This window comes from Homo sapiens, chromosome 1, assembly GCF_000001405.40.
Source record: "Homo sapiens chromosome 1, GRCh38.p14 Primary Assembly".
Lineage (NCBI taxonomy): Eukaryota > Metazoa > Chordata > Mammalia > Primates > Hominidae > Homo > Homo sapiens.
In genome coordinates, this window is record NC_000001.11 from 248,434,641 (window position 1) to 248,456,967 (window position 22,327).

Sequence of the window (22,327 nt, forward strand, 5' to 3'; positions counted from 1 at the left end):
GTTAACACGCATATTTGGACCAAGATTGGGAAATGCAATCTGAGGAGACAGATTCTAGTAGCCTTAAATAAATGCTCCAACTAACAGCAGTTATAATGGGGCCTCTAAGGGAAAAGGGAAGTTCTAAGCTGACATAAACTATTGATCAACTAGACATTGTTCTTTTGTAGCTATTGATAAGCTATACACTATTCTCTGTAGGGAACATGAAGATGGTTGGTAAAGGTCATATTGTACAACTTGTAACATTTTAGGTAACTTATCAGCTAGTCTGGAAACTTCGGGGGAGCGGGGGGAAGTATAAAATTCCTTTAAACAACCCCAGGTGCGCATGTGTGAGCAGGGCTGGGTAGGGAAGTTATTGAATTCTCATGCTCGCGTCTCTGAGCCTAAGACGTTTTGTAAAGCTCACATTCTTCAGACTGCTCTGAATCATTTTTCTCAGTTTCAAATATTTTCTAAGGTCAGCTTTTGGGGAAGCTAAGGCAGGTCATATATGAAAGTAATTTAACAGTGGCTTTCTCAGATTGGACCTCAATCCTAAACAAAGGGGAAAGACCCAAAGAATTTTCTAAACTACCAAAAAACTTAAAAAATTTCAACCAACCATACTAGGATTGAATCATCTCTTCTTGCTTATAGAAAATATTAGAGTACATAGTAATGTAGCCAGTTGTTGGAAAAAATGGTAAAAGTGGTAAGTTCAACCAGTTAAGATTTAAGTTGAGGTGTTTATGTATTTCTTCGTGGTATTTTGTCAGCTTTCTAAAGGTGTAATTTTGTTGGAGTTTCACTGAAGAGAATATTATACCTGTGCAATCATGATTTGTAGCCTGTTTTCTTAAGATGCCCCAGATTGCATAAGCTTCAGCCTCAGAAAACCTGAATTCCAACCCCCACTAACTTAAACACCAGTGAGGTAAATATGAATTACATGAAAGCCAAGATCATGCAGGCATAGATTGCAGCACAACAAGACTGCAGGGTCTAAAATTCCCCCCCACCCTTCCCGCTCCCCCCAGGAATCGTTGTGGGCCCTTTTGAGAATACTGGATGAGAAAAGGTCTGTCTTCTTGAAGTAACTCAAAGATCTTATATACACTGAGATTAGTAAAATGAATATTTTTAAATGCTTGCAATGCTGAAAGTTTTATGTATTACAAGTTACAAGAAAGACAGGATGATTACATACTAATACTTGAGTGATGGGGAATGGCCCAAAATGTATCTTTTGCAAGACAATACTTCCTTAGAAACATTGATTTCTATTTCAAGAGAGATGCCTGAAAGTTGGAAGTGTAAAAAGAGAAACTTTCAAAACAATGTCGTGAACAAAGTAAAAGAGAAAAAAGCAATTTAAGTTGCAGCTGCCAGCAACCTGACTTATCTTGGGTGTTTACTTTGTAAATTGAGAGGTTACATTTTTCTTAAGGAGTCTGTCACATTTTATATGAACTGTAATTGCAGGCTAGGGACAAGGACCCCAGAGACAGTGATGTCAATGTATCTCCTGAATGGGAGTACTAGCCATCACCATGATGCAAGCTCTATTTGTCACTGGATCTCTATCTTAACAGCCTGCATAATGCAGCTGCTGTCAACTGACATTAGGCATTTACAGATTCAGGCTGTTCTATTTCTCGATCTTCAAAGGATTCACCTATCACTGTATTTTAAAAAGTCTCAATAAGTTAGGGACTGACCCTTATCCTTCTGCCAACAAGATGTAATTCCCACGCCTAATCCACTGTACCTTCTTGTTTGAATTCATACTCTCCCTGCCTGTACTCCCCTGTTTCAGTTCAGAAAACAAGTTTGAAATACAGAACATAGAATACCTCCAGTTTAGAAAGTCTGATGTATGCCTCTTAGTTCCCCATACTTACTACATAAAAGGAAATGCTGAACAATTGCATGTACTACCTTAGTTCTGTAAGGTTTCTCTCTAAATATTCAGATCATCGTGTTTGGGGAAGATACTGTGTAAGGTAAGTTTGCAGTCTTGATGCTGATCAATCGCAGGATGCTTTAAATAGATTCTGGACTTACTAGAAAGTTTTGGTTCAAACCAGAGAAATACTGGAGAATGTTGAAGTTTGATACATCTGATTTTGAACTGCAGATACTTGTGGATAGTACTAATATACAAATCTTAGATAATTCAATCTCGTTTCTTAGTAGTTATGGACTCTTATCTTTTCTGTACATCAGAATGTAGCAGATTACTTGAATTCTATGCAGATCTGTCTGCATAATGATTCCAACAGTTTTTATCATTGCAACATATATTCACCTATAATTTTAAAATCTTTATAAAGAGCTTATCTAAATCGTAGTATTCCACCTTGTTAGGTACCTCATAAGCATCTCTAAAAATGGTTTAGTTAGGAAGACCCTCCATATCCTGCTCCGAGAAACCATTGCAGCATACTTAATACTTAGAAGTTCCCAGAAGCTGAAAAGAATGTGAGTGGCTTGCCAGACGTCCAGAAGCTTATCAGTGATGAAGATAGAATATAAAGCCAGCTTTGATTAAAAACCATGTCATGTAGCATTGTGAACATTAAACATGCCAAGAATGTTTCAAGGGTTAGGAATAGACAGGGGAAGAACTCAGTTCAACTTCTGTAGAGACTGAAGGTGATCATGCCCTTGGTCTGCTTCAAGACAATCCCTCGGCCTTAATCAAAACTTCTCTATCGTTCTAAAGATTCCCCAAGTGATTTTACTTTAGTTGTGGAAGAAAAGCCATTTTCTAGAAGTGACACTTCATGTGAAAATACTGCTGGGGAGGAAACATAATGAATCTGATTGTACAGAGAATTAAATGTCTTATAGTCAGGGTCACCATTTAGCCCTGTTTTCTCAAGATATTCCCTTTCTTATGCCTGTTGTCCTCATGTCCTGTCTAGCTTAGCCTTTTAGCACTCAAACGTATTCTGAGTTAGATGGTCACCAAGAATTGTGCCAATCTTTGATGCAGAGCAGGGTCTGACAGAACGACAACAAAAATGAAAAAGTAGAAAACTTGGCTACCTGCTGCTGGACCTGCTATTGAAGAGAAAAACATAATGGACAGCAAAGGGTGAGATTCCCAAAGCTAACTGTCGCTATCACAGTCTTAAGGTTAACCTGGCACTCATTTTTAGTACTCGCTTTTTATACCAGAATTTGTACATGCAACAAGGGTGAAAACTAATTTTACCCATGACAGTGTTCCCACATTTCCAACAGTTCTCCTTGTTACTTAGGTCATTCCTGCTCATCATTCACACTTGAACTCCTGCTTATTTGAAGAACTCCAATTAGATAGAATTCACTGGCATGATCTTAAAGTACAAATTTATCATGGTTGATCTCATAAACCAATGGTTGCATAGTTTTAATGTCTAGACCAAAGATTTTAAGTGCATAGAAAATTACATTAAAAATTTTAAATTGTATATTAATCACATACCTCGATGGAAAATATTTTTTTTCAAAAATCCAGCACACAGAATGAAAATGTCTGAAATATTTCAAAACTTTTTGGCCTAAACATCAAAGTTACAATTACATGTATGTAACTCGGGGGGCAAAATAGCTGCACTAAATTGAACAAAAGAATAGTCTATAGATTTTTATTTTTTATTAATAATCTTGACAAATCACCTATATAGAAAAGGTCATGAAAAATCAAAATAGCCAAAATATACACTATGTTCAATTTTTTTCATAATCAAATCCATATTGTGAGTTTCGATACTAGTGCTAAATGCTGGGGCAAGCATGATGCTGCCGCAAGTGTGTTCTCTTACTGTTAAGCATTTAACAACTTGGTGATAAGCTTCTAAAGCATAGTAAACCATTGTCCATGAATTATGCCAGAGAATTCACCTCATAATACTGCATATAAGCAAACTCAACAACGTGAATGTGAACCAAGCTGAGTGTCTCATATTCAATCACAGCAATAGTCTCTATAAAGACTGGGAAAGATGTGCTAAATATTAAGTATACATAGAACTGGACGTTTACTAAGGTTTGGAATTATGCATAGACAATTATTACATGGGGCATGGTATAATCCAGTTGATTCCTTTATTTTCCAAGTATTCTTAAATGTTGCTATACTGGGTAACTCTTAAAATACAGTGAATGAATCAACACTACCAGAGTTGGAAGATGGTTGTAAAATCTGAGTGGTTATGGAGCCACTCATATCTCCCCTTTCCCTTTGTGAAGTAAGCTGGGGAGATCCCCAGAGTCTCATTAGCAAGTTTCAGGGCCAGGAGTATTCATGGTCAGGGTTCAGGACACAGCTGCCCTGATAAGGATATTTTTGGACCAATTTTTTCGTCTTGGGCTTTAATATTCCCAGTGGACCAATAGCAGTCACTGTGGCTGGTCCCCAGTAGGTAGCCACCATTCTCTGAATTTACTGTGAAATAACAAGCACGGCCCTCCAAGGATCTTGTTCTTATTAAATTATGGACAACCAGGTCTGGGTGAGCATTCAGCACTCTCCATCATACGAATTGCTACTAAATGTTTGCCTTTAATTTTCCCACTGGCTTAACAGTTTTTAAAATAATAAAGATACATTATAAATCAGCTGATGGAAAGCCCTGGCATAAAGCTGGTAATATTTCAAGAATGAGAACTGAAAAATGCATAAGGATATAATGTGGGTTTCATCAGTAAAAATCTGAATTTTCATCGTTTTCCATCCATCCACTGTGGCATGGTTGTGGTGGAATGTACTGAGGGGCCCTGGTGTGAAGTTCCTGTCTACCAGCCAGTGGGCTGCAGCTTCCATCATTTTTATTGTCCTTTGTTCACATACCAAGTAAGTCAAAACTGCTGAGGTCTTAAAACCATTCTGAAAGTGCACCTGTGGTCACACAACACACGTTCATGTGCCTCAATTCTAGGCTCGAAGACAGATGATGTCTTACATTCTTTCAGGGTCTTTCAGAATATCAAACTTTGGCTTACCCAATGTGCCTCTCGGGAAATATTTACGGAATGAATTGATGTCTACTTTGTCCTGTTGGAAAACAGCATAGAACAAATTATACTGTCACTGTTTAAAGAACAATGTTCCTCCTTGGGGAAGTTTCCTTAAGCCTCATTTTCAACTGTAGAATGGTCTAGTATCTTACACAGTTGTTTGGAAATGTAAAATTTACGAATCAGTTATTAATGTTCTTACTGCTATTTGCAGGTGAATGCATATACAAGTAAAGCCATTTTTCTAATTTGGTACACACCTAAATTTTTTGGCTCAATTCTAATTTGTGGTGTTTAATTCTGGAGGACTTGTTTGGATGAAGGTAATTGGAGCTGTCATATTCCCAGGAATAACTCTAACCAGTGCTGCCTAGTAGAAATCCTAGGGGAGCCACAGAGAATTCTAAATTTTCTAGTAACCACATTAAAAATGTAAAGAATAGGTGAAACTAATTTTAATCTATATTATCCAAATATATCTAAAAGTTACCATAATATAAAGTTTTAAGAAGACGTGTTGCATATATTTTTAACAGGTGTTTGAATTGTTAACTTTGTGCTGATGGCACATCTTGATTTGGAGCAGTCGTGTTTCAGGGGCTCCACAGCTTCATAAGCCTCATGGCTACCACCCTGGATAGTGCAGATCTATATGATGCAGGGAGAAGCTATCCAAATAACTCATAAGTGGTCCTAAATTGTGGTAAAATATTTAACTGATATGGATACATATGCAGAATCTAACTTCAAGTTTGAGAGATCCCTTCTTTTGGGATACACTAGCTCTAATACTTAAACTAGTTTATTTTTTCATAAGTTAAATGGGATTCTAACATTTTAACGAGTTGTATGTTAATAATCGGTAGTTTGCTGCTGCAAGAAGGAAAGCAAACACCACTTGACCCTCAACGTTTTCTCCCATGATTTTTCCTCCTATGAATTCTTGGATGACTTCTCAGAACTCAGCTCTTTTTATTCAACACAGGCTCATTCTGCAATACTCCACCTGATACATGTAAGTTGAGCACTCAAATTTTACAATGTACAAGTGTGTCAAGAATGGTGTAAATTAGGTCAAATAATGCAGTTATTCTTCCATAGGCAAATATATACTCGTGGTGATCTTCAAACTGGATTCTAAGTGTGAGAACTAGAGTCTAGTATAAGGAGAGCAGTGTAGGATGTGGACAATCCTCCTTTCCTCCCCACCACCCTATCCTATTGAATCAGGCTGGTTCCATTCTTATGTCTTATATGCATCCTCACCAATGTAAGGTGGTACTCGAAAGACAGAAATAAATGGTCATGAACAAAAAGATTGTTTGATCATGAACTCTAAATAGTAATCACCAAATCAAGAAAATCCTTAAATGAACAATGATGGTATAATGAGATGTAGCACAATCCTGCTCAGGCAGTTCTCTCAGGGAAATTATGAGCTTCAAGAAATAAGATTTTGACCTTGGTTTCATGACTACATCATAATGTTTTATGTAAATCAGATACCTTTCCAACTTTATCATATCTCTTTCGTGTACCCTACAGAGCTATGGAGCAGAGCAATTATTCCGTGTATGCCGACTTTATCCTTCTGGGTTTGTTCAGCAACGCCCGTTTCCCCTGGCTTCTTTGCCCTCATTCTCCTGGTCTTTGTGACCTCCATAGCCAGCAACGTGGTCAAGATCATTCTCATCCACATAGACTCCCGCCTCCACACCCCCATGTACTTCCTGCTCAGCCAGCTCTCCCTCAGGGACATCCTGTATATTTCCACCATTGTGCCCAAAATGCTGGTCGACCAGGTGATGAGCCAGAGAGCCATTTCCTTTGCTGGATGCACTGCCCAACACTTCCTCTACTTGACCTTAGCAGGGGCTGAGTTCTTCCTCCTAGGACTCATGTCCTGTGATCGCTACGTAGCCATCTGCAACCCTCTGCACTATCCTGACCTCATGAGCCGCAAGATCTGCTGGTTGATTGTGGCGGCAGCCTGGCTGGGAGGGTCTATCGATGGTTTCTTGCTCACCCCCGTCACCATGCAGTTCCCCTTCTGTGCCTCTCGGGAGATCAACCACTTCTTCTGCGAGGTGCCTGCCCTTCTGAAGCTCTCCTGCACGGACACATCAGCCTACGAGACAGCCATGTATGTCTGCTGTATTATGATGCTCCTCATCCCTTTCTCTGTGATCTCGGGCTCTTACACAAGAATTCTCATTACTGTTTATAGGATGAGCGAGGCAGAGGGGAGGCGAAAGGCTGTGGCCACCTGCTCCTCACACATGGTGGTTGTCAGCCTCTTCTATGGGGCTGCCATGTACACATACGTGCTGCCTCATTCTTACCACACCCCTGAGCAGGACAAAGCTGTATCTGCCTTCTACACCATCCTCACTCCCATGCTCAATCCACTCATTTACAGCCTTAGGAACAAGGATGTCACGGGGGCCCTACAGAAGGTTGTTGGGAGGTGTGTGTCCTCAGGAAAGGTAACCACTTTCTAAACAAATTGCATATGCTGCTAGAGACTTGAAATGAAGGATACAAGACTTTATCATTGCCCTTGAGTTTAAATATTCTCTGCCTGGAAACAAGTGACCCACATGCCAGCAACTGTGGGGCATTTATGGGATTTGGAAAGCTGCCTGGGATTTTTAAGGATTTCATTTTTTTGAAAGGTATGAAGGCTCTGAACAATGAACAGTTTGGGCTGGGGTAGGCATAAAGCTGAGGTTTAGTAGTCACCCATGAGCTCTTAACAAGGTGTGTATTCCACTAAAAATCATGGACTAGCCTGTTTCTGGCTCTGCTCAGTCATGGCAAAAACGGTCATCTTCAACTACTTCCCTGACTTCTCTCGACTTTTCCCCTTTAGACAGTCTGTCCATTGACCATTATAAAGAATCAACTCAAATATTATATTTCAAATATAGCAGTCACCATCTTATCCTCAGGCTGTGTTCTAAGTCTTTTGGGGGAAGCCTGAAACCATAGTATAGAACTATAGAACCTGACTGCTGTCAGTCACAACATATTTGCTCATCTTCTACCATAAATGTAATACGTTTTCTTTCTTACCTAAGCACTTATCACACACTGTGGCTGTAGGTTTTGCAGTTTGAGGTGTGACAGCAAAATTACCACAAATGTGTTTTTCCTCCTACACAATTTCAAAGAAGATTCATTCTTACTGTAGATCTTGGCAATCTCAGCATATTTTTCTTGCCAGAACCTCCAGTTAAGAACTTATTAGAATGTGTCTCTGATAATGGTTTGGCTGTTTCCCCACCCAAATATCATCTTGAATTGTAGCTCCTATAATCCCCATGTGTAGTGGGAGGGGCCTGGTGGGAGTTAATTGAATCCTGGGGGTGGGTTTTTCCCATGCTGTTCTCATGATGAATAAGTCTCACGAGATCTGATGGTTTTACAAAGGGTGGTTCCCCTGCACATGAGTCTTGCCTGCTGCCATGTAAGACATGCCTTTGCTTCTCCTTCACCTTCCACCATTGGCTGTGAGGCCTCCCCAGCCATGTGGAACTGAGCCCACTTAACCTCTTCATAAATTACCCAGTTTGGGGTGTTTTATAGCAGTGTGAAAATGGATTAATAGTCTGTTTTTCAGAGACATGAGCAGAGGGCCAATATCTTTAGAAATATAGAACACTTAAAAATTAAGTCTTATAGGAGCTAGCAAGGTTTTGCCAAATACAGATTCACCCAAAAATGTCAAGTGGCACTTTGGAATGGAGTGAGAGTGGGCAGGCAGAATTATCTGAAATTAAAACAATCTAAACTCCAAACTGTGGGAGTCAGTCTTGGCTTGTAGCAACCAAGTCTATACCTACTGATGATATAAAAAGGATTACTTCCTGAAGAGAGTTAAAGGGAAGGAAAAGAGAAAAAGTGAATAAGAAACATGGAAGATTGAGACACCACAAAATACCTCTTGTAAAAAGTCTAAATTATATAAGATAACTAAGTTCAACACTAGACAAAGTATTGTGACACATGAACATGAGTTAGAAACTAATACCAATCAATACACTGTTCACAGGTCTGTTTTTTCCTTAAGTTGGGCTTGTATTAACAATTTTCCAAACTGATACAGCAGCACTTCTCAAACGCTTTCATGACATAACTATAAAAATTAGTGATATGGCACCTTGAGGAAAACTGATGTGGCTGTTGACAGCAAAATCAACTCCCCTGTGGCTGTAGCCAAATCGGGCACTGAAGACCAATCCAGGGTTGAGAGGATCAATATTGGTTGTAACCCATTTGTGGCTCTGGAGAAAGACACATCACACCAGAGGGAAGAGTGTATCCAATCAATCCAATAGTTAGTTGGAGAACTTTATTTATGGATGACATATAAAATATTCAGGAATTATTGAATAACATTCTAAAGGCTGAAAAAGGGTATGGGTTTTCTGCTTATCTGCAACAGAGGGTATAAGGTATGTGTCCAATGGATTTGTGATGACTAGCAATCATAAGTAATGTTGCCCATTAGCTGACTTAATGCATGAAAAGCATTCAATGATGTTGTTTGGGAAGCAGAACTTTAGTAATAAGACCACCTTCTTTTCCCCATTAGAGAAATAAATGTTAGGAAGTTCAATTTTCCTAATGTTTAAATATCTTAATGTGCTCTGGTGAAAACTTTAGAAAATGCATAACTTGTATTACCCTCACTTTTTTCTCTACCAATTGCGTTATTTCCATCATTTTTCTTATGTCTCCTTTATTCCTACTGAGGTCAATATTCTTCTGTAGTACACGTAAGACAAATAATTCTGAAAAACACTTAACCTAAGTGACAAATGCCACTTTTGTGAAAATAGAAGATAGGAGAAAGTAGAAGGAAAATCTCTTGGGACCCAAACTCACTAAGCCAAAGGGAAAAGTCAAGCTTGGGAACTCTGTCATGCAAAACTATATTCCATATCTGTTCCCGACTGTATGGCTACAGATTCCATACTGTTCCGGAATGGACAGCTACACAGGTAGAAGGCTACATACCTCCCCAAGGGACCTCCCTCACAATCTGCTAGCAAGGAAATTCCTTGCTGGCCCAAAGATCTTTACCCGAAAACCATTCTCTTGAATTGTCATGCTGACAATGTAAATGAATGGCTTATCTTGACAGGCAGTGGACAAAGACAGGCCTGGGAGTCATCCCTCCACTCCCCTGAAACAAATGCATATTTGACTGCTTCCTCTACTGTGTACCTTATCTTATATACAATCCAGATTCACTGAGCAGGAGATGAACGCCCAGTTGAGTGTTCCTCTAAACCCTCTCCTGTCACATCTAAAGTGCGAATTCAGTCAACACTGATTAAAGCCTGCAAAGAAGGAAACTACTTCATTTATTCACACTTCCTTTTTCTTTTTTTTCCTCTAATGCCCACTGTTTCCCTTTTAAATATTGAAGTCTCCCAACCGTCTTTGGAAGAAGCACAAATCTCAGATGCTCCTGTCATATTGTGTTCCTTTTTCCCAGGTGCATCCTCAACCTTGGCACCAGAAACATCTACATTGATTGAGACTTGGCTCCAATGCTTTTTGGTTCACACTTATTTATAACTTTAAAGATTTCTCCCCAAACAAGAGGCCAGTGACTTTTGAGAAAGAGCTTTTTTAGTTTGTCATAGCCTCTATTTCTAAAGAAATTTAAAATCTAATTTTCAATTTAGAGCGAGGCTCTTATCCCCACATCACTGCCTTTAAAATCTCTCTGGAGAGATGCCAAGATTCAGTAAGACATTTTCATGATGAAATACCAAGAAACGATTCCAGTCCTTCACTTGGGAAAACAATGCACCCTCTGCAAGAAAGGACAGGCTGCTTCTAAAGTTCATGGTAAACCCAGTCAACTTGGATTAATTGCTAACCCAGGAATTCTTCCTGGGGGATGTGGGACTCTATTAGTGAAAAGACTTTTTGACCTAGCCTCACCCCTACACAATGTATTTAATAAGAAGTCTGACATTCCACTACTGCTTTAGAAAGACTTGGACCCAGCTTCTCTGAGGTAGGATCCTTAGATCTTCATGAAAAACAGAACATCACCCAGATACTGGGATGTTTTCTTCAGGTATTACTCTGTAACTATTAGAAGGCCACGTTACTACTGTGAGCTTATCTGCTAATAACTGAGGCAGTGGTCTTCTCAAGATTAAGCATAAATAACATATATTCACTATCTGGCAAGCAGACAACTGGAAAAGGGCATTTAGCATGAAACGTGGGAAGCTAAGGGAAATGTAATAGTTTAGAAGAACATGAATAGATTTACTGAAGGAAAATGGCATGTAAGAGCCGACAGTTAGAAGAATGTGCTTGGTATTCACAATGAGAAAGTTTCAGAATTAATTGGTAGCAGGGGTGCATACTATTGGATAAGCATAGATTGCCCTCTGAATATTTTGTTAAAATTTTAATTTACATTTTAAGTTAAATGATTAATTGCTCCGTTCATATGCATTTAGGTGTGGCTGAAGACTTCATGCTTGGAGGGAAATCATGATTTTTTTTTTTCATTTTAACCTCCTTCCTCTTTTATTGAACCCATAAGGCATCCACGTGTGCCTTAAGATCTTTTTTTTTAATAAAACTATTAGAGGTCTCCTAGAAGCCATCTTAGCATGGCATATAAAAGCCTGTTGAGCTGAGTAACTGGAGCCCAGGGGGAGATGTGGACATGTTGGAAGCTCAGGCTGTAGGGGTATAATAATGAGTGCATTGTGTTTATAGTTGCAGGTGTCTGCCCCTTGCTTCAGCTCACCTCACCTCACCACTGCTGTTCCTGTGTAATCCTCCATGCCCTTACTCTCCATTTCCTCTTCCACAGTATTAGTAGGGTGGACTAGATGGGCTCGCCTCGCCTCACCTCGCCTCTGCTGCTCCTGTGTAATCCTCCATTCCCTTACTCTCCATTTCCTCTTCCACAGCGTTAGCAGGGTGGACTGGATGGGCCATATGCCAGATCCTTTGATTTCTATTTGCCACCACACGAACTGACACTGCTGCCCAGAAGCATTCCCCTGCACATCCACATCACAGCCCTCCTGCTGGCAGCTTGGAATTTAGACCTTTTACTCTCAATGCTCCAGGAAACCAGATGTACTTCTTTCTTTCTTGTCCATTGGTGATATCCTTGACAATGTAGTTTAGGTAAGTTGGCATGTAGCATTAAAACCTGTATTCTTCAAACTGAACTAACTTCTGGCATAGTAAGTGTTCAGTAAATGTTCACCTACATGCCATTATAGTGCTGATTTTTTTTTTTTTTTTAAAGCCAAGAAAACTTCTATCTTATGCCTAATTTTCCACACTGAAAATTTCCAAATTGTCAGTTGGGATGGGAGGGAAAGTAGACTACTTTTCCATGAATGAAAACAGTTACCATTTAAATAAATAGGCAGATAAAGGGGGGTGGTAACTAAGGCAGTATGTAATTAGAACTGGAGATAAGGTAAGGGAAAAGAGAAATTCACATCATTGGATACTACGTTGCTGTGGAGAGAAGGGGATAAAATCTGATTAATGTAGGAAGCAAGGTCCAAATGCGTTCATTCATAAAAGCAGACGGAGTACAGGAGTAGCTTGTGTAGGTAGAAGAAGAAAAGGAGTTCCTGGCCAAAGCCCACTGTGGCTATGAACACTTATGAGTAGCAATTAATATTAATCTTGCTTTCAAGACTAAAACTGCCAGGTGGATCTTTCATAAGTACCTTATTTCAGCATGTAACTTTCTGACTGAAACAACTCCCATTTGCACCTTATTTCTCGACGCTGAGTTCTGGTCTCCCTGCCTTCACTTTCCAGCCGCACTCCACCCCACACACCTCAGCTCTCCACGGGCTCTTCAGCTGTAGTTAGACTGGACTCTCCCCTCTCTCTTCCACCCCTAGTGCCTGCTAATTCCCATTTGCGAGCCTTTTGACATTATTTACATTGTCTCTGATCATGTCCTCTCTCCTTCAGTCTCGAGTTTCGGAATCAGACCGGTTTCCCTCTCTACTATTGCACTGTTTAACTGAACTGACTCCTGTCTTCTCCTGGTTCTTGTGATCCACTATTTTCAAAGCAGTGATCACTTAGATGCTCTTTAAAAGTTTCATGCTTTAAGATCCTTTCAGTCTCTAGCCCTAGGGTTGAACCTTTGAGGTAAAGAATTCTGACATGGTATTCCTCTCTTTAACACTTTCATTTCCATAGTTTTAGTTAACCTGCAATCCGCCAGGTTGCTATCTACCATGTGTAGAAAATATTAAATGAAAAATCTCAAATTTTAAATTGCCCACCATTTTGAGTAGTGTGGTGGAAATATCATCCCTCTGTGTAGTTGATTCACACTGTCTATGCTACCCCCTGAGTCATTCAGTAGCTGTCTAGGTTATCAAATCGACTGTGGCGGACTCAGTGCTTGTGTTCAAGTAACTCAGTTTTTCTTAATGGCTCCAAAGAGATGGAGTTAGTGAAGCTGGCGATTTAGATGTGCCAAAGAGAGGCTGTAAGGTGCTTGCTTTAACTAAAAAGGTGAAAGTTCTTGACTTAAGGAGAGAGAAACCCTCATAAGCTGACTTTGCCAAGATCTATATTAAGAAAAACTTTATCTTTGAAATCATGAAGGAAAAAATTATGCAAGTTTTGCTGTCACATCAAACTGAAAAAGTTATAGCCACAGTATATTGTCTTAGGTATTCTATTTTATTATTGTTAATCTCTTACTGTGCCTAACTTATAAATTCAACTTGATCATAGGTATGTATGCATGGGATAAAATATGGTATATATATAGGGCTCAGTACTGTCTGCAGTTCCAGATATCCAGTGGGGGTCTTGAAAACTGTCTCCCACTGATAAGGGGAAACTGTACCTTTGTCCACTACTCAAACTGATGCATAGCATCTTCTGGTTTGCTATGACTTCATGTATGTAAAACTTCTAAAGTACCTGGCACACGTAAAGCCCTATTGGTTTATGGTTTGGGGAATACCAAACTTCCTGTTTCTCTTCCTCCGTCTCTTAGTGCCTTCCACACCATTATCTTCTCTCATAAGCTTTAATCAAAGCAGAAAGATCCCAATATACTATCCTTGGCCCCCTTTTTCTCATTCAGGAACAAATAATCGATGACTCTTAGAGCTATGTGGCACTTAGGATTAGTAACATGTTGGTGACATGCCATTCTTTTACTGAAAGAACACTGAGGTCTGGAGAAGTAACTATGCGTGTCATCCCCAGAGCAATTTGACAGCTGAGCAAAGCACAATGGCATTAGCTGTTATTTGTGGCTAAACACCTTTAAAAAGTCCCCAATATATTTTCATTTTTAGAAATCCCCACTTTAGACTTAAAATGATCTGTTTCTATGAGGATTTTTGATATGATACATTAATCAAACTTAACTATGTGCCCCTTAAGAATATTGTCAGTTCTATCAATCTTCATAGCTCACCCAGTGCTAGGTGAGTGTTTTGAACACGGAATGTGTTTGTGCTTCAGGCATTCTGTCTCTAAGGATGGAATGGAAAACCCTTCCCTTTCAAGCTTTACAGGTACGTTGTGTCAAGTGGAGAAGATCAGTTCTGGTTAGCAGCTTTATTGCCACAGAAAGGACACTGGCAGATACTTCTCATAGCTCTAGTCATGCTGAATTCCCGGAAAGGGGTGTCAGAATGAATTGCTCTAAGCTCTTCTCCCTGGTAGAAGAACCTGTGACTTCTCTTGGAGATCTCTTCAATTTTCGGTGAGTCACCAATTGTTCTTGATTTCTATGGCTTCTCCCAGAACAACTCCAGGGCTGTTGTCCTGAAACATACAGCTTTGATCACCTGGCACCCTGCAGAGATTCTCCTTTCCCTCTTCTCCATGTGGCAGACCACAGGTAGAATAAATGCCTCTTGGCGAGCTCACTCATCCCTCATCCATCAGCCCCAAGTGTGCAGATAACAGATGTGGAGCTCCTGTGCTTGGTGTCCTCCACCTCTCGGCTTGATCTTCCCACCCTCCCATTCCTGCCAGATGATTATGTTGCAACACTGGGTGATGTTATAACTGGTCCTGGGGGTCAGGGGTTCTGGGTTATGTTCTAATCTGCACTGGGGAGAAATCATTCACCGCCTTGAAGAGCCTGAAGCTTTGATCACGCAAATAAAAGCTTTTTCTTTTTCTTTTTCTTTTTCTTTTTTTTTTTTTTTGGAAAGACTAGTTGATGAAGGGGAACCTAAGTGTCTTAGAGTGGAGAATGATGATAGTGAGGGAAAGATGACCTGATGGGGAATGGAATCTAGGATCTTGTATGTGTGAATAAGTCAAACCACACATCGTAATGCTAAATAGCATCAACTCTAATGTTAAAATGTAGATGCTCGGAACTGATGTAAACAGAAGTAACTGATGACATGTTTTGTCCATAATGCAGATATTTTCCCTGTCTACTTGCAATGCCCAGTAGCCTATGGAATAACATTAGGCATGCATTTGAACATGTCACATTTGGTTCTAAATATTGGCTTCATTGAAATGGGTGAATTGCTCGTTTGTGCCAAGCAGTGTAGTTCTGCTCTTTAGCAGGGCCTTTTCCCTACACATATCCCCACCCACTCACAGATGCACACACCACACATACCATGCTCACACACTCACATATGAACACACTACACACACATGTACACACAACGCTCACACTCACAAGGAACCTCTTTTTTTTTTTTTAACACGGTCTCGGTTGTATAAAAATGAGGTGGCTAAAATCATATCTTTCTCCTGTTTCAGCTTTTTTACTCTCCTCTTCTGGGATCCTACAGTAAGATAAGATCTAGGAGTTGAAAACGTTCTTATCCTTTTATCATAGACATTTGAGGCAATAGTGTTTTACCTCCTCTTTGAATACCTTGTGGAGTCTGATTATTTACATGAAACAAAATGCTCTGGTTCATGTTCTGATTCAAAAGTAATTGGTTATTTTCTTAGGTCATTTTCGTTTGTCTCATTCTTGCCTATTTCAGTTCCTCAAAGTATATTTTTAAAAGGATGATTGTCAGCTAACCTAACACTATAGTAATTAATGTATAATATCCATAATGCATTTAACTGAAACAATAGATGTGGGTCAAGACAAACTTACTGTCTGCGAGATTAATATTTTTAATTTCCAACAAGCTATTGCAAAAGCCACTGCAAATGGAATTGTATATTTAAATAGTCTCTTGACCCATGATTCGAAGCTGTGGCTATCACAAGAAAATCTTTCACCTGTTAGAGAAGGCAAAAGTAGCTGACTTTTATCACGCTTGACAGGAGTTAATATTTGATGCTCATGTATTTTTTTCTCCTCAACCAAGGTGTGACAAACTGAAGTTTCAGCACAGACCAACACAAAAATTGCTTTTTTTTCTTTCTCCCTTTGGATGTTTATTCATCTTTTAGGCCTATTACTCATATCTCCATCTCTGAGCACTAAGAAGGAAAACTCTACTGTTGCTATTGTTTTTGCTTCAACATAAGGAGAGTTTATTCCTTGATGCTTCAGGGACTGTAAATTTTGACTATTCTAGAACCAAAAGATTCAGATACATTTGTAGTATTGGTGGCCAAAACGTTTGACAGAAAACAAGTTTCTTCAGTAATCCTGTCACTAAAATGAGAAGAAATACACCATAATCTAATAAAGAAAAATTCATCCCTCAGTATTCCTGAACATATAAAAGGGACACACATTCATATTACTCAAAAAAGCATGAGAATTCATTCCATTGATTCAAGGAATGTTTGATACTGCTGTGTCGCGTCTGAGTTCAGAAATTTCTTTACCATCTATAGTTTTTGTTTTCTTGTTTTGTTTTTTGAGACAAAGTCTTACTCTTGTCCCCCAGGCTGGAGTGCAATGGCACGATCTCAGCTCACTGCAACCTCCGCCTCTCAAGTTCAAGCGATTCTCCTTCCTCAGCCTCCTGAGTAGCTGGGATTGTACAGGCACCTGCCACCATGCCCGATTAATCTTTGTATTTTTAGTAGAGATGAGGTTTCACCATGTTGGCCAGGCTGGTCTCGAAGTCCTGACCTCAAGTGATCTGCCTGCCTCGGCCACCCAAAGTGCTAGGATCACGGGTGGGAGCCACTGCACCCGACTGTAGTTATTTTTACTTATAAACATGAAGGATCAGTAAAATGGTAGAGAAATAAACTTGAGGAAAAAACCCAAGTAGCAGTGGATTACTAGGATGATATAATATTAGGACAGGTTCAGGATGCCACTCTGTCAGAGAAACTCTAACATTTTGGCTAAACAATATTTTAAGATGAGGTCATGATTGAATTCTATGATGCAGCATCTAAATTTTAGCAGAATTCATTGTCAACTGGAAAGACCACCAGGATAACGAAACTAAAGCCCTGTTCTGAAGCAGTTTGTGGTGGTTGTCCTGCCAGATTTATGATCCCCAAATTATTCTGTGAGAACAAATAGACACAAGTTCTCACAGCAGTCCATGCCTAAAAGATGAACTCCTTTTGCAGGACAAAAGTCTAACCACAAGACAGTGTGGCTCCTGACCCCAAATGAGGTCATCTGTACTGCTTTGATGTTCCTGACTTTCATAAAGCTGTTCAGTAACAACAGCAGCCAAAAAAGTCAGTTATCTAGATGTTTTCTATCAATTTAAGTCACAAATAGACGTCTGTGGATGACTCTAGTACAATCATCTCGATGGAGATGCAGAGAGCAATTTAAATTCAAATCATTTCGCTAGGCGAAATGGGAAATAAGGCACAGTAACCACCCTCAGAAAACTTTCAATCTAAAAGTGATAAGATTATGAAATGTATTCAGAAGATAGTTCAAAGTAAAAATCAGATTCTAAACCAGGTACTGTATGAATTACATTTACATCTCACATCCAGCCTGTAGAGTACAGAACTATGATGACCTTTCACAGATGATGAAATTGAGTTGAGATTAATTTTCTGTCCAATATCATACAGATCATTAATACTGAAACCCAGGATTTCAAATGATCCTGAAGTAGGTGATCTTTTCTTGATCTCACGCTGCTTCTGACATACTATTCCTGGTGGGCTCTTCCTACATATCAGGTCGTTAAATAAGCTGCCAGATTTCTGCCTTTACAGCCCAAGGAGCTTGTCATGGACCATGGGCATGGAGGGTCTTCTCCAGAACTCCACTAACTTCGTCCTCACAGGCCTCATCACCCATCCTGCCTTCCCCGGGCTTCTCTTTGCAATAGTCTTCTCCATCTTTGTGGTGGCTATAACAGCCAACTTGGTCATGATTCTGCTCATCCACATGGACTCCCGCCTCCACACACCCATGTACTTCTTGCTCAGCCAGCTCTCCATCATGGATACCATCTACATCTGTATCACTGTCCCCAAGATGCTCCAGGACCTCCTGTCCAAGGACAAGACCATTTCCTTCCTGGGCTGTGCAGTTCAGATCTTCCTCTACCTGACCCTGATTGGAGGGGAATTCTTCCTGCTGGGTCTCATGGCCTATGACCGCTATGTGGCTGTGTGCAACCCTCTACGGTACCCTCTCCTCATGAACCGCAGGGTTTGCTTATTCATGGTGGTCGGCTCCTGGGTTGGTGGTTCCTTGGATGGGTTCATGCTGACTCCTGTCACTATGAGTTTCCCCTTCTGTAGATCCCGAGAGATCAATCACTTTTTCTGTGAGATCCCAGCCGTGCTGAAGTTGTCTTGCACAGACACGTCACTCTATGAGACCCTGATGTATGCCTGCTGCGTGCTGATGCTGCTTATCCCTCTATCTGTCATCTCTGTCTCCTACACGCACATCCTCCTGACTGTCCACAGGATGAACTCTGCTGAGGGCCGGCGCAAAGCCTTTGCTACGTGTTCCTCCCACATTATGGTGGTGAGCGTTTTCTACGGGGCAGCCTTCTACACCAACGTGCTGCCCCACTCCTACCACACTCCAGAGAAAGATAAAGTGGTGTCTGCCTTCTACACCATCCTCACCCCCATGCTCAACCCACTCATCTACAGCTTGAGGAATAAAGATGTGGCTGCAGCTCTGAGGAAAGTACTAGGGAGATGTGGTTCCTCCCAGAGCATCAGGGTGGCGACTGTGATCAGGAAGGGCTAGCAGGGACTCCCACAGCATCAGAGTGGTGACTGTGATCGGGAAGGATTAGCGGGGACTCCCAGAGCATCAGGGGTGGTGACTGATCAGGAAGGACTAGCAAGGACTAGCGCAAACATCTGCGGTGCTGCGGCCAATAACGCAGCTATTACAGAAAATATGGTATTGGTTCTGAAGAATGTTCAGTGTCACTTTCAGCAATTCAAAATTAACAGGCAAAATCATCCTGTTGCAAGGATTACTTAGGAACAGTAGCGAAGTTGGTGAGCATCTCCGCATTAGTCAACTTTGTTCAACTGGATTCACAAACATTTCCAGAGGGCATTCTCAGTCAAGTAGCCCTACAAACCATTCATGGCACGCCAAGCAGCTCTTGGAAGTGCCCATGTTAACATGTGACCATGAGTCCTTCCTGTCTGTATTGCTAACGTGTGATCATGAGTCCTGCCTGCCTGTATTGCTGACGTGTGATCATGAGTCCTGCCTGTCTGTATTGCTAACGTGTGATGAGTCCTTCTGTGTCTGTATTGCTAACGTGTGATCGTGAGTCCTTCCTGTCTATATTGCTAATGTGTGACCATGAGTCCTGCCTGTCTGTATTGCTAACGTGTGACCATGAGTCCTGCCTGTCTGTATTGCTAACGTGTGATCATGGGTCCTGCCTGTCTGTATTGCTAACGTGTGATCATGGGTCCTGCCTGTCTGTATTGCTAACACGTGATTGAGTCCTGCCTGTCTCTATTGTTAACCTGTGATCATGAGTCCTGCCTGTCTGTCTGTATTGCTGACCAACTTTTGAATGGAAATTGGAAGGAGCATTTGCCACCTCCTTGATGACTTAATTTCAAACATTCAATACAAGTAAAATATTTTCTAGTGCTAAATGTGTAGCAATTTTATTAGAAAACATTTAGGAAGGTGATACTATTTTTGGTTCCATGTTCTTAGTTACATTTTATGAATGTTATCACTTACCTCTGAAATTAAATACTTGCCCTGCCTTTATTCACATGGAGTCCAATATATTCCTGGAAATATTGATTCATTGATTGAAAATTGACTCTGCCATTAAGATTGTTACATGGCCAAAAACCTACAAAACTGCCATTTATGCTCAAATTGTTAATAGATAAATGTAGAATGAATAAACCAAGACATTTTATTAGCTAACTTAGTTCCCGTGGAATAAGTTGCTCAATTTTCTTATTCTCAACATCTTCATTGATATGCTGAAGACAAGTATTTTTGTAATTAGTTGGAGTTAGGTGTGGTGCTTTGATAGATGTGTAACTTTGGTGGAATACTAACTAAGCAAAGACTACACTGACCCCACCATTCATGTAACTTTAGTTTCTCCTGTGTGTAAGGTCCTGAAATATGAGACATAAAAAATATTGACGGACCTGGTGTTTATTTTCTTTGTTGATACGAGGCTTAGAAAACATTGGACAGAGCGGTTACATAGTTGACAAAGACTAAGCAAAGGTTACTCAGCCTTATGTTGTTCTAGTGTCAACACAGATAGAAGGAAAAATGTTTCCTCCATTGTTGCTGACGTAGATAAAGAATATTCCCTTCAATATGCTAACCCCTAGGTGGCTTTTCATTCAGAAGGTTCCTAATAATTTGATCTTTACCCTGAAATCAAACACATGGAAAAGAGATGGAAGAATGTCCTGGAGGGATTAAGTGAAGAAACAGACCAGGATTCATTTATGAAATATCCTCGGTGTTATTTCAATTCAGCTCCATTCACATTTTATTCTTTTGTGTCTCTGCACTAATGCCCTCCATATTCTCCATTCTCCTGCCTTAGCTAGCACCTTCTCGATCTTCCCTCTACAAAACTCCTTCAGTTCACATTGCATTTGTGCTCTATCCTGGGATATGTGTTTTCTTTCCCATTTCCTCAGTTGCTATGTATTAAAAATTAGGACTTTTATTCTTATGTTTCCAAGATTAATTCTTTGCATATTTAACTAGAATATTTAACTCTAACATTGACAGACATTTCAAGAGTATACCTGAAGCAATAAGCGAAATGCATTTTGACAAGTTTCTAGGGATATCATGGACATTAGTGATCGGGGCATGGAAGGAGGTGACTTATTCAATGTTTGAGTCTATTTAACAAATTTCATGGTGGTTACATCAACGTGTTCTTTTCCTGGTGATTTATCAATCTTTCCACTGTTGATGTGTGTGCTTTTCTGTTAGGCTCTACTTTAATACAACTTAAAAAAAAATTTTAATCTCATTTTACACATGGTGTGTATCCACTCCCTTCACACATAAAACTAGTCCCACTGTAAAAGGGAGTGACCAAGGATTTTTCCCCAGTCATCTCACCAAATTCTTACATAAGGTAATTTGTGGTCACCAGATTTGCTTCTTTATTAAAATAATATATAAATTTTAATATTGAGTAATACACATCATATTTAAGTTACTAAATTATCAGTTGTATACCTGAAACATGGCATGCACTAATCCAGGTAATGAGGAAAAAATAGAAGACTGTCCCTAGTTTTGAAAACATTTAACTACATTACCTGATTTTGATTCTGATCTTCACAAATTCTTATAAAGTATTTAGAGAAAGAATTAGCCCCATGGGAGATGAAGAAGCTGATGTTCACAGCAAATTATTGCCCCATTCCAGCAAGAGGCAGATGGGGCTTCAGAACCACGTCTTCTAACCTCTGGTCTGGTGTTTTGTGCCAAGCCATGATACTGATAAACAATTTACAAATGAGAGAAGTGGCTGGGCATGGTGGCTCATGCCTGTAATCTCAGCACTTTGGGAGGCCGAGGCAGTTGGATCACTTGAGGCCAGGAGTTCGAGACCAGCCTGGCCAACATGGCGAAACCCTGTCTCTACTAAAAATACAAAAAATTAACTGGGCGTGGTGGCACATGCCTGTAATCCCAGCTACTTGGTAGGTGAGGCAGGAGAATCGCTTGAACTCAGAGTGGAGGTTACAGTGAGTCAAGATTGTGCCACTGCACTCCAGCCTTGGCAACAGAGCAAGACTGTCTCAAAAACAAAACAAAGGGGAGAAGCACATGGCACAATGTGTATCTGCCAGCTTGTTAACCCTAATAATGACCTGGGGACAAAGGTCCCTTCAGAGCAACATGCTGATAAAAGCCATGTTCATTTGCTGTTGGATGCTAGTTAGGCTGGTCTAGCCAAGG

General features: G+C 40.2%; 1 protein-coding gene and 1 pseudogene across 2 annotated transcripts, besides 1 other annotated feature; both read left to right on the forward strand.

Annotated features, from left to right (window-relative positions):
- Nucleotides 1–1,718: 1,718 nt before the first annotated feature.
- On the forward strand, nt 1,719–9,676 carry OR2T7 (olfactory receptor family 2 subfamily T member 7 (gene/pseudogene); annotated as a pseudogene). Its single transcript, NR_172522.1, has 2 exons — nt 1,719–1,988; nt 6,538–9,676. The product of NR_172522.1 is annotated as an olfactory receptor family 2 subfamily T member 7 (gene/pseudogene), transcript variant 1, non-coding (transcript).
- A 1,320-nt stretch (nt 9,677–10,996) lies between these two features.
- Nucleotides 10,997–21,085, forward strand: OR2T2 (olfactory receptor family 2 subfamily T member 2). The gene is made up of 4 exons (NM_001004136.2): nt 10,997–11,029; nt 11,949–12,171; nt 14,554–14,752; nt 18,136–21,085. The coding sequence occupies exon 4, from the start codon at nt 18,158–18,160 to the stop codon at nt 19,130–19,132; it is 975 nt and encodes a 324-aa protein (NP_001004136.1). The 5' UTR covers nt 10,997–11,029; nt 11,949–12,171; nt 14,554–14,752; nt 18,136–18,157; the 3' UTR covers nt 19,133–21,085.
- Nucleotides 18,446–18,647: a silencer, noted in NCBI's record as "fragment chr1:248616387-248616588 (GRCh37/hg19 assembly coordinates)". NCBI's record gives its function as "represses an EF-1alpha promoter that drives an FKBP-Casp9 reporter gene in an ReSE screen in K562 erythroleukemia cells {active_cell/tissue: K562}" and the evidence as "EXISTENCE:reporter gene assay evidence [ECO:0000049][PMID:32094911]".
- Nucleotides 21,086–22,327: the final 1,242 nt, after the last annotated feature.